This window comes from Homo sapiens, chromosome 15, assembly GCF_000001405.40.
Source record: "Homo sapiens chromosome 15, GRCh38.p14 Primary Assembly".
Classification (NCBI taxonomy): domain Eukaryota; kingdom Metazoa; phylum Chordata; class Mammalia; order Primates; family Hominidae; genus Homo; species Homo sapiens.
In genome coordinates, this window is record NC_000015.10 from 73,663,384 (window position 1) to 73,676,781 (window position 13,398).

Sequence of the window (13,398 nt, forward strand, 5' to 3'; positions counted from 1 at the left end):
GGCAATATTCAAGCAGGAAAACAGGGATGTAAGTTTTCATTTTGGGCTGCAGGTTCAGGCAGAATTTCTCTGCCTCCTGTCGCTATCAATATCTTTGCTTTGTAGAGAATCTCTGCTCTTCTTCACAGTTGTCTTAATTATCTGTGAATTTCTATTCTTCCCTATGTATTTCAGAATATTTTAAGTTGCTAAAACCTTTTGATATAAATTGTACTAAATGTATAGATGATTTTGAAAGACAATTAACGTCTTTGTGATGTTAAAATTTTCCATTCTTTTTTTTTTTTTTGAGATGGAGTCTTGTTCTGTTGCCCAGGCTGGAGTGCAGTGGCGTGATCTCGGCTCACTGCAACCTCCGCCTCCCAGGTTCAAGTGATTCTCCTGCCTCAGCCTCCCAAGTAGCTGGGACTACAGGTGTGTGCCACCACACCTGGCTAATTTTTGTATTTTTAGTAGAGACAGGGTTTCACCAAGTTGGCCAGGATGGTCTTGATCTCCTGACCTTGTGATCTGCCCACCTCAGCCTCCCAAAGTGCTGGGATTACAGGCATAAACCACCATGCCTGGCCCATTCTTAGTTTTTTTTGAGATGGAGTCTTGCTCTGTCACCCAGGCTGGAGTGCAATGGCGCGATCTCGGCTCATTGCAACCTCCGCCTCCTGGGTTCAAGCAATTCTCATGCTTTGGCCTCCCAAGTAGGACTACAGGTGCCTGCTACCACACCCAGCTAATTTTTGTATTTTTAGTAGAGATAGTGTTTCACTATATTGGCCAGGCTGGTCACTCCTGACCTCAAGTGATCTGCCCCCGTTCAGCTTCCCAAAGTGCTGGGATTACAGGCGTGAGCCACCGTGCCCACCCCAAATGTTCCATTCTCTAACATGACATGTCTTTCCATTTTTTCTAGTCTTTATGTATTTTATTAGAGTTTTAAAACTTTTCTTGTATATTCTTTGATAGGCTTATTTATATTGTTAAAATAGATAATTGGGATGTCATTAGGATGAGACCCTCTAATGCATGAGGTTCTTACCAGAGAAACCAAACCCCAACTCACTGTAAACTGTAAAATGAAACTTAGGCTAAACCAATCAGAAACTGTTAGCTAAACTTCTAACGGACTTTCCAACTTTAACCAATTAAATATTTTCTTTGTCTTGCTTTCATGAGCACCTTATAAAATTTCTCCTTTGTATCTTCTCAGTAGAGCACTGACCTGCTTATAGTCTGGTGTTGACTGATGAATCGCAGAATGCTCAAATAAACTCATTAAGATTTTAAGGTGTCTAAGTTTATCTTTTCTTTTCTTTTATTTATTTATTTATTTATTTTTTGAGACAGAGTCTTGCTCTGTTACCCTGGCTGGAGTGCAATGGCATGATCTTGGCTCACTGCAAACTCTGCCTCCCAGGCTCATGTGATTCTCATGCCTCAGTCTCCCGAGTAGCTGGGACCTGCAGGCTTGTGCCACCACACCTGGCTAATTTTTGTACTTTTAGTAGAGATGGGGTTTTACCATGTTGGCCAGGCTGGTCTTGAACTCCTGACCTCAAGTGATCCCCCCACCTCAGCCTCCCAATGTGCTGGGATTACAGGCATGAGCCACTGCACCTGGTGGTCGTGCCTATGTTTATCTTTCAATGCTATATAGTATAGATGGGATTTTTTTTTTTGCTGCTGCGAATGGTATCTCAGTTTATATTATATTTTCTACTTGGTAATATCTGATGTAGAGGAATGCTACTTATTTTCAAATATTTTAAAAGATTGCAACTGTGCTTATTTTTTTTAAATGATGTTCTGTTGAGTTTTCTATGCATATGATCACATCTGTCACCTGAATATAATGACAGCTTTGTCTCTTCTTTTCAAATCTTAAATCTTCATTTCTTATTGTCTTACTTCAGTGTCCACATTGACTAGGGGTGGGGATATTGTCCATCCTTGCCTCATCTGTAACTTTCAAGGCTTTGTGCCTTCATCAAGCATGGCATTTTTTATTGAGGTATAAGTTCCATGCAGTGAAATTCATAGATCTTCAGTAAACTCTGTACTCAGTTTGGTGGACACAGAGCATCTTCTTTACCTCAGAAAGTCCCCAGTGCTCCTTTACAGTTAATCTTTCTGCCCTCCAGAAGCAACCACCACCCTCATTTCTATCATTATTACGTTAGTTTTGCCTTTCTAGAGTTTCATGTAAATGGAATTACAGCAGAATGTACTTTGATGTGCCTGGTTGTTTTCCATCAGCATAGTATTTTTGAGAACCATCCCTGTTGTTACTTGCATCAGCAGTTTGTTCCTTTTCATCGCTTAGTAGTATTTCATTGTATGAATACACCACTGTTTGTTCCTTCTCCTTTGGATGAGCATCTGGATTGTTTCTACTTCAGTACTATTATGAATAAAGCTGCTATGAACATTATTATACAAAGCTTTTTTGTGGACATATGCTCTTATCTCTCTAGGAATGGAAATGTTGGGTCATAGTGTAGATGTATATTTAACTTTTTTTCTTTCTTTCTTTTTGTTTTTTTTTTTTTTTTTTTTGAGATGGACTCTTGCCATGTTACCAGGCTGGAGAGCAGTGGTGCAGTCTTGGCTTGCTGCAACCTCTGCCTCCAGGGTTCAAACAATTCTCCTGCCTCGGGTTCCCAAGTAGCTGGAATTACAGGCACATGCCACCATGCCCAGCTAATTTTCATGTTTTTAGTACAGAAGGGGTTTCACCACATTGGCCAGGTTGGTCTCGGACTCCTGACCCCAGGTGATCCGCCTGCCTCAGCCTCCCAATGTGCTGGGATTACAGGCATGGCCACCACGGCCTGGCCAACTTTTTAAGAAACCATTAGTTTTGATGTAGTGTGGGCAAAGCCTCAAATTGGGGCTTAGCCCAGGAGGGTTTGAGGCTTCGCCCAGGAAAGAATTCAAGGTTGAGCTGGTGGTATTCGCAACTTTTATTGAAGCAGCAGTGCACAGCAGCGGCAGAGGTACTGCTTCTTGCAGATCAGGGCTACCCCACAGGCAGTGTGCCCAGAGTAGCAGCTCAGAGGCCGTTCTGTGGTCATATTTAGACCCACTTTTAATTACATGCAAATTAAGGGGCAGAGTATGCAGAAATTTCTAGAAAAAGGGTGGTAACTTCTGGGTCGTTGGGTAGTTGTCATGGCAATGGTAAGCTGACATGGCACACTGGTGCGCATGTCTTATGGAAAGCTGCTTCCATTCTCTTTTAGCTACTCCTCAATTTGGGCTGGTGTCTGAGCTCTGCCTTCGGAGTTGAGTCCCACCTCCTACCTCAGTTTTCCAAAGCAATTATTTCATCTCACACTCCTACCAGCAATGTATGAGAGTTCTAATTGCTCTACATCTTCTCCAGCATTTAGTGTTATAAATCTTTTTCATTTTAACCATTCTATCAAGTATGTAGTGGTGCCTAATTGTTGTTTTATTTGCATTTCCTTGATGAATAATGATTTTAAGCACTTTTTCCATCTACCTATTGGCCATTTGTATATCTTCTTTTATAAAATGTCTGAGTTTTTGCCCATTTAAAAATTGTGGTTTTTTTTTTTAAATTACTGGGTTGCAAGAATTCTTTATATTTTATGGATGCAAGAATCTTCATTAGATATATGTGTTGTGAATATTTTCTCTTGGCAGCTTTCTTGTTTATTTTCTTGATGGTGGTTTCTGATGAAGAGAAGTTTTAAATTTTGATGAAGTCTAACTTATTAATCTTTTCTTTTATGATTTATGCTTTCTGGATCCTCCTTAAGAATTAACTGCTTACTCTGAGATCACAAAGATATTCTTCTAGCAGTTCTAGTAGCTTCATTATTATTTTAGCTCTTATGTTTAGGTCTGTGATCCATCAAGTTGGATTTTGTGTATAGTGTGAGACAACGGTTGATGTCCTTTATTTCCTATACGGATATTCAATTCTCTAAGCACCATTGGTTAAGGATATTTTCCTTTCCCCATCGAATTGTTTTGATACTTTTATTAAAAATCATTTGATTTTATGTGTATAAGTCTGTTTCTGTGACTCTCTATTTGATTCCAGTAGTTTATTTGACTATCCTTTCACTAATAGCCCATTATCTTTATTGCAGTTTTGTTTGTCTGAAAGTATCTTCATTTTGCCCTCATATTTTGAAGGGTATTTTTGCTAGATATAGAATATTTGCAGTTTTTTTCTTTGAGCATCTTAAAGATGTCATTCAATATCCTTCCAGCTTCTAAAGTTTTTGATGCAAAATCATCAAATCTTACTTTTTCTTCTTTGAAAGTCATGTGTCTTTATTCTCTAGTTGCTTTTAAGATTTGCCTTTTAGCTTTGGTGTTTGGCTTATTGACAAGGAAGTGCTTAGGTGTGGTTTTCTTTGTAATTATCTTGCTTGGGTTTGACCCAGCATCTTGAATCTGTACATTGATGTCTTCGATCAGTTTGGGAGGGTTCTTGATCATTAGCTCTTCCACTTTTGCTGCTGTCTTATTCTTTCTCTCCTCTGTTTGGGACTCCATTTACACATATATTCAAACTTTTGATTGTTTCTTGTATGTCTGATGTGCTCTGTTATTTCCATCCTTTTTTTCTCTGTGGGCTTCAGTTTGCATAATTTATATTCAAGCATGAACTTTTGAGTTCACTAATCCTGTCTAATGTTAAATCCATCCAAAGAATTTTTATTTTCAGATACTGTATTTTGCAGTTCCAGAAAGTCCATTTGCTATATTTATAGATTACAATTCTCTGACAAAGTTTTCTTTTTAACTATTTTGTTGCATTTTCAATTATCATATTTAAACATATTTGTAATAGTTATTTAAAATGTTTTTTCTGCCCTACAATATCTGAGTCATCTGTGGGTCTTTATTATCTTTTCATCTCCTGAGAAAGTGAGGTTATATTTTTCTGCCTTTTCACACAACTTATACATTTTTTTTTTTTTTTTGAGATGGAGTCTCGCTCTGTCGCCCAGGCTGGAGTGCAGTGACACGATCTCAGCTCACTGCAACCTCTGCCTCCTGGGTTCAAGCGATTCTCCTGCCTCAGCCTCCCAAGTAGCTGGGGTTACAGGCACATGCCACCACGCCTGGCTAATTTTTTGTGTTTTTGGTAGAGACGGGGTTTCACTGTGTTAGCCAGGATGGTCTCGATCTCCTGACCTGGTGATCTACCCACCTCGGCCTCCCAAAGTGCTGGGATTACAGGCATAAGCCACTGTGCCCGGCACGTTTTACCCTTTTCTTATTAGGCAGGTAAGGTAAGAGGCCAATCACAACAATATGATCAGAGAATAAACTAGATTGAGGTTGAATTGTAGTTCTGCTAGACTCAGTCTCTGGTTTGATGGAGAGCTTGTCAAGTCTACCTCCTCAGACATATCACACGACGGAACATTCATTTATGCCTCTTAGAGGTTTGAGCTTGGCTCTTTAGCTTCCCACTTAACACGACTTCAATTTTGGCAAATAGGAGAGCGGGACCAGCTGTGCGTTTGACACAAGTCCCCCTTCCTCTACAGATTGTTGTCTCCTAATTACTGTGAGGGTGGAAATTTTCACTTTGTTATTCTGTGTCCCTCCCACAGCCTTCCATGCCCCTCAGGCACTCGGCAAATGTTCCATGGGAAAAGCTGGCCATGCTTCAAGGGCTCTGTTCAATCTGAGACCCTACATCTTTAATTATGAGAAATAATTGGACATTGTGTCTTAAAATATTTTTCTGGTTATTTCTTTTTCTGAGACTCCTGTTAAATGGATGTAGGCCCTTATACTTTTATCATCCATATAACTTTTCTTTTTTTTTTTTGAGACAGAGTCTTGCTCTGTCACCCAGGCTGGACTGCAGTGGCACAGTCTCAGCTCACTGCAGCCTCTGCCTCCCGGGTTCAAGTCCCCCTGAGTAGCTGGGACTACAGGTGTACGCCACCATGCCCAGCTAATTTTTATATTCTTAGTAGAGATGGGGTTTTACCATGTTGTCCAGGCTGGTCTTGAACTCCTGACCTCAGGTGATCCACCCGCCTCAGCCTCCCAAAGTGCTGGGATTACAGGTGTGAGCCACCACAACGCCTGGCCCACTTTTCTTTATATTTTCTATTTTTAGACCTTTTCTGTTTTTTGTTTTGTTTTGTTTTGTTTTGTTTTGTTTTTGAGATGGAGTCTTGCTCTGTTGCCAGGCTGGAGTGTAGTGGCACAATCTCGGCTCACTTCAAACTCCGTTTCCCGGGTTCAAGTGATTCCCCTGCCTCTGCAGGCTCCCAAGTAGCTGGGGCTACAGGCACGTGCCACCACGCCTGGCTAATTTTTGTATTTTTAGTAGATGGGTTTTCACCATGTTGGCCAGGATGGTCTCGATCTCCTGATCGCGTGATCCACCCGCCTCAGCCTCCCAAAGTGCTGGGATTACAGGCATGAGTCACCTGGCCCCAATATTTTTGATTTTGGTGATTGTCTTCTGCCTGATCTTCCAACTCTCTAATTTATTTTTTGGCTGAATACATTCTGCTATTTACTCCATCTACTGAGTTATTTGTTGTAACGGTTATTAAATGTTGTCATTGCCAACATTTCTAGTTATTTTTAAATCATTGCTTATCTTGCTTGATATTTACAGTGTCCTCCCTTATGTCTTGGAGGATGTATATTGTCCTTATGGTAAATCCCTCTTCTGCCTAGTCTGTTCATACGACTTTTTAAAATTTTTTATTTTTTTGAGACAGAGTCTTGCTTTGTCACCCAGGCTGGAGTGCAGTGGTGCTACCTCGGCTCACTGCAAGCTCCACCTCCCAGGTTCATGCCATTCTCCTGCCTCAGCCTCCCAAGTAACTGGGACTACAGGCGCCTGCCACCACGCCCCACTAATTTTTTGTATTCTTTTAGTAGAGACGGGGTTTCACCGTATTAGCCAGGATGGTCTGAATCTCCTGACCTCGTGATCCGCCTGCCTCGGCCTCCCAAAGTGCTGGAATTACAGGCGTGAGCCACCACACCCGGCCCATACTACCCCTTTTGCTAGTCATTCATTTGGTGGTTGTTTTGGCTCTGAGTTCATCTTCCCTTAAAAGTGTCAGCTATCTTGGTGAATAATGTATACTCCGTGGGAAGGAGTGAGGTTAAAGACGGGGCTCCAGCTTTGGCTCCTCTAGGCAAAGGTATGAGGGGAGTGCCTCAGGGTGCAGAGCCTCTGGCAGCTATTCGCCATTTGCCACCTGTCCACAGACAAGCCAGAGTGAAGTGCCTCACCTTCCAGAGACCCTCTGCCCTAGTCGCTGCTCTTTTCCAAGAGCTGCCTCACTCTGCTTTGTCTTTTATCCCAACCAAGGGTAGAAGAGGAAGGAGAGGCTGCTCCATGGCTCCTGGCCAGCCTTCATCTATTGAATCTGTTTTCCACCAGCCAGTTCAGCTGGCCCCAGAATTGCCTTGAGGTTACCTTGCTATTTTCGGCTGGTGCTGTGTTGATATTTTCTGCCCACAGAGGTGAAAGGGCAGGCTACCCTCCACCCAGAGAAGTATGGGGGACAGAAAAGCAATAAGAAAGCCCTCTCCCAGATTTATATCGACCCATGACCTCTGGCTGTCACCACTCTAGGCTGCAGTGCTCAGCCGACTGGGACCCATCTACCTTTTGTTTCTCAGGGTCAGATTCTGGGTACATCATCCCTCTCTCCCTTATACAATATCTCTAGGGCCAAGTCTTGGGGAGGGAATCTGCAGTCCACTCCATCCAGCACCAAGATAAAAATCTGAAGCCCCATCTACTTTCTGTCTTCTAAAAATTCTCCAATATTTCTGGTTTGCTAATGGTTCTTCATTTTGTTTTCTAGCCCTGTTATGTTTTGATTGTTTTTAAAACTATTTGTTTCTTTTCTGCCATTTTCAAATATGAGAGCATGTTCTGAGACCCTCCCTTTTCTTCTTAAGAAGAATCCCCTTGGCCAGGTGTGGTTGCTCACGCCTGTAATCCCAGCACTTTGGGAGGCCAAGATGCGTGGATCACCTGAGGTCAGGAGTTTGAGACCAGCCTGGCCAACATGGTGAAACCCCGTCTCTACTAAAAATACAAAAAATTAGCTGGGCGTGGTGGCAGGCAACTGTAATCCCAGCTACTCGGGAGGCTGAGGCAGGAGAATCTCATGAACCTGGGAGGCGGAGGTTGCAGTGAGCCGAGATCACGCCATTGCACTCCAGCCTGGGCAACAAGAGAAAAACTCCGTCTCAAAAAAAAAAAAAAAAAAAAAAAAAGAAGACAAAGAAGAAGAAAGAATCTCCTACTTAGTAGAGGCAGTGATTCTTGTGCAACTTTGTAACTTTCATTCATCCCATTCACTCTTTCCTGTTTTCTTGTCTGTAAAATGGGAATAGAGGAGTAGGTGATGTTTGAGGGCCTTTCACCCTCCCCGTGCTGTGGCTCCAAGGATCAGGCCCAACTGTTGTTTGGCTCATTTTCTGCTGTACATTCTGCATTAGTTCAGAAACGTGAGTGGTGGCACCGCTTTCTTTCTAATTTCATTCTGGTCATTGGTATTCAGAGAGCAAAATGTAGAGCTGAAAAATGAAGATTGTTTCTTCTTAGAAAAACAAAAAGCACAAACCATCTACAGAAACCTGTTCCTATAATGAGCAGCTGAGGCAGGTGGACAGAAGATTGTCCTGAGAAATGTGAATGAACTTGCCTCCACGGAATGGGGTATCTAGAGTGGGGGATGGTGCGAGGGTTTTTTATTCCTTCCCAAAGCAAAAGCAGACTTCTAATCATTTTTATCTTGCACTCTGGCCTCTTTCAAATCCCATGAAGCCCCCCAAAGTTGCCAATGACTAATGTGAGACTATAACTCTCTAGGAAATAGGGATATCTCTGCCTCTGATGCCAGAAAACAAGGCAATAGACAGAATGACCTCCAAGAACCTTGCCTATCAAATACAGCATCCAGTCATGTCTCTTTGTAGAGGCAGAAACCATTCATGCTTCTGGGAAGAGCTAAAAACCATTTTGAGAAAGGTTGGAGGAGTTGAAAGGAACACTGGGATGCTGGCTTCCTCTTCACCTTCCACCATGATTGTAAGTTTCTTGAGGTCTCCTCAGAAGCTGAGCAGATGCCAGCTTCATGCTTCCTGTACAGCCTGCTGAACCGTGAACCAATTAAACCTCTTTTCTTGATAAATTACCCAGTCTCAGGTATTTCTTTATAGCAATTTGAGAACAGCCCAATATGCCATCCATGATTTTAGGTACTATAAAGCCATAGACTATTGGGCAAGGACTTCAGCTCGACCCTCATATACAGACAGGGAAATAGCCTGAAAGAGCTCAGAGACTTCCCTGATATCACCATAGTGAGTCAGTAGCTGAACTAGGAGTAGAACCCAAGGCCTCTTACTGCTGTGTAGGAGTCTGATACCTGTACCTGGATGCCTCAAGTAAGTTCCTGAAGCTTCTAAGCCCCCCACTGCTTTTGAAGGAAACGCTAGGTCAGGCATAGAATAAGGGCTAATTAAATGTTCAGTACTGTGGCAGATGCTGTGGATCCCCATTGTGGTTGAAGGACCTAGCCCTCCAGGTGCTAGAAAGACTGCAGGAAGACAGCTCACGGCTGTAAATCCTCTTTGGGAATTGCATCTGCTGAAGAAAGCAACCTGGATCAAAATAACTTCCCCCTTTCTAGAAGATCCACATCCAATGACTGATCTGTGCTTGAGTATTAAAGGCCAGATCTGTCCCTGACACAGGACAACTCGAAAGAGGTTGTTCCAGCTTCAGAGTGCCCCATGCGGTTGGCCAAGGTCTTTGCTGAGTCTATACTGTGGCCTAACTTCTCCCCTGCCCAATTCTATTTTTCTCCCTTTTCTTCCCCAGGTGTTGAGCCACAGAGCACTCCCTATTCTAATCTCAGAGTCTGCTTCCTGAAGAACCCATCCTGCCACACTTGGATTGAATTACAGTCATGAGAAAGCCTGAACTTGGGAAGGAGCCAGGGTCTGGTGGCTTCAGTCGTGGTGGGGGAGCAGCTGAAGAGAGATGGGTCATGAGGTGGGGCATAGACCCTGGACCTGGAGGCCTGGATTCCCGCCTCTCCACAGCAGCTCACCTGCCCAATTATGATTTTGCCTGCAACCCTCCAAGCAGAGCTGGGAGAGGCTGTGTGATTATTGCTGTTCCAATCACTGCTTAAAATCAATGTTATGTGTCCCAGAAGATCAATCTCCCCCATTTCTTAGAGCCATTCCCCTAAATCTTCACCCCTCTTCTCGGGCTCTGCTCACTCTCACCTCCCTCACTCTCAGCAGATGATCTTGCCTCGTACTGTCCTTTACAGAAAAAACGAAAATGAAGCCATTGGGAAGCTTTCATCAGTTTCACATCTCATATCCTTGTTACCCTATCCTCACCTCCTCCCATCCAGCCCAAGAAAGGGTGGTCTCCCCAGGCTCTGGGCCCTGCCCCTTTCTGCTTCCTTAGAGATCTCTGCATGTCAATTATCATACCCCTTCTCCCTCATGGGACTTACCTGTTTCCTCTCTCCTGCTACCTTCCCATGGGTACATAAATATGTTTAGGTCTCTCATCTGGAAAAAAGCACCAACCACAGATAGAAGAAAATATTTGCAAATTATATGTTTAACAAAGGACTTGTATCCAAAAATATACAAAGAAGTCTTAAAACTCAACAAGAAAACAAACAACCTTATTAAAAAATGGGCCAAAGACCTTAACAAATACCTCACCAAGGAAGACATTTAGGTGGCAAGTAAGCGTATGAAAATATGTTCCACATCAAGTGTCACTGGAGAATACAAATTAAAACAATAAGACATGACTACACACCTATCGAAATGGCCAAAATCCAGAACACTAACAACACTAAAAGCTGGTAAGGATGCAGAGGCACAGGAACTCTCATTCATTGATGGTGGGAATGCAAAATGGTACAGCCTCTTTAAAAGACTGTTTTTGGCAGTTTCTTACAAAACTAAACATACCTTTACCATAGAATCCAACTTCCTTTGTTAAATACCGAGGAGCAATCATGCTTCTTGGTATTTAACAAAGGAAGTTGAAAAGTTACACCCCAACAAAAAACTCTGCACGTGAATATTTATAGCAACTTCATTCACAATTGCCAAGGACATCCTCTTGTCCTTCAGTAGGTGAACAGATAAATAAACTGTGGTACATCCAGACCACAGAATATTATTCAGTGCTAAAAAGGAATGAGCTAGCAAACCATGGAAGGACTTGAGGAGACTTTAAATGCCTATCACTAAGTGAAAGAAGTTAATCAGAAAAGCCTAGATACTGTATGATTCTAGCTATGTGCCATTCTGGAAAAGGCGAAACTATGAAAACAGTAAAAAGGTCAGTGGTTTTCAGGAGTTGAGGGGAAGAGATGAATGAATAAGTAGAACACAGGATGTTTAGGGCAGTGAAACTACCCTATATGATACTGTAATGGTGGGAACATGTCATTATGTATTTGTCAAAACCCATAATTTGTATAACACTGAGAATGAACCTTCATGTAAACTACAGATTTTGGGTGATGATGATGTGTCAAGGTAGGTTCATTGATGGTAACAAATGTACCCCATAAATTGATTATGGGGGAGGCTGTACCTGTGTGGGACCAGGGGGTATATGGGAAATCTCTGTATCTTCTGCTCAATTTTGCTGTGAACTAAAACTGCTCTAAAAAATAAAATCTATTTTTTAAAACAACACCACAACATTTTCTATCCATGTACTTGTCAACTTCTGGTCTTTTCATTTAGCCACACTCATGCCACAAGCAGTTATTAAGCAATATTCTAGGTGCAGAAATACAGCAGTGGACAACAAAGTCATGATTCAAATTCTATGGAGGGAGATAGACAATAAATGCATAACCAAGTAATATATAATATTATCAGAGGGTAAATAAGTGCTAAGGAAAAAAAATCAAGCAGAGTAAAGAAGTTGGGGATGACCAAGGCTGGGGATAGTGGGCACCACTTTATATAGGGTGGTCAGGGAAGGCCTTCCTGGAAAGGTAACACTTGAACAGAGACCTGGAGAAAGTAGGGAATGAACTCTGTGGACATCTGGGGAAACAGTGTCCCAGTGAGAGGGAAGGGCAAGAGCAAAGGCCCAAAGGCAAGCATGACTGGTGTATTTAAGGAGCAGTAAAGGAAGCGAACGCAGAGTAGAGGAAGCAAGTGGGGGAGAGATGAGATCAGAAGGAAAGCACAGAGCCAGATCATGTAGGATCATATAGAACAATTGAAGGATTTAATTTTTACCCTAGAGAATTCTGAGCAGAGGAATGACTTGATTTGCTTGCATTTAAAGAGGTCACTGTAGCTGCTGTGTAGAAAGTAAACTATAGAGAGAAGTGGAAGGAAAGAGACTAATCAGAAAGCCACTGCAATACAGGTAAATGAGGATGGCTTGGATTAGGGTGGTAGCAGTGGAGACCAGAAAGGTGGTTCTGGTTCTGGATATATTTCGAAGGTAGGAGCCAGTAGGATTGTTGGTGTGGGTTTTGCAAGAAACAGAAAAATCAGCTGGGTATGGTGGCTCATGCCTGTAATGCCAGCACTTTGGGAGGCCAAGGCGGGTGGATCACCTGAGGTCAGGAGTTCGAGAGCAGCCTGGCCAACCTGGTGAAACCCCATCTCTACTAAAATACAAAAAATTAGCTGGGCCTGGTGGCAGGTGCCTGTAGCCCCAGGTACTCAGGAGGCTGAGGCATGAGAATCCCTTGAGCCCTGGAGGCGGAGGTTGCAGTGAGCCGAGATTGCTCCACTGCACTCCAGTTTGGGCTACAGAGTGAGACCCCATCTCAAAAAAAAAAAAAAAAAAAAAAAAAAGGAAAAGAAAAAAAGAAACAGAAAAATCAAGGATGACCGCAAGGTTTTTGGCCTGAGCCAAAAGAAGAATGAAGTTGCCATCGCCTGAGATGGGGAAGACTGCAGGATAAATGGTTTGTTGTTTGTTTTAGTGGCAGTGGGTAGGCAGGAGGATGAAAATCATGAGTTTGATTCAAGACAAGTTAGTGAAGATGTTGAGTAGGCAGTCGGGTATACAGAATTAAAAGATACAGTCCAAGCTGGAAACTTGAATTAGAGCGTTCTCAGCACATAGATAGTATTAAAGCCGTCAGACTGGATGAGATGACCGAGGGAATGGGTCTAGACCCAGAAGAAAAGAGTGTGAGTACTAAGTCCTGGAGTTCCTGTACATTAAGGGGTTGGGGAGAGGAGAAGGATCCAGCATAGGAGACTAGAAGGAACAACCAGCAAGGTGAGAAGAAAAGCAAGAACTTTCTGTTCTAGAGGCAGAAAGTGTTTCAAGAAAGGTAGTGAATGATTTGGAGACAGTGAAAAGATTGATGATGCAGGAGAGGAGAATTT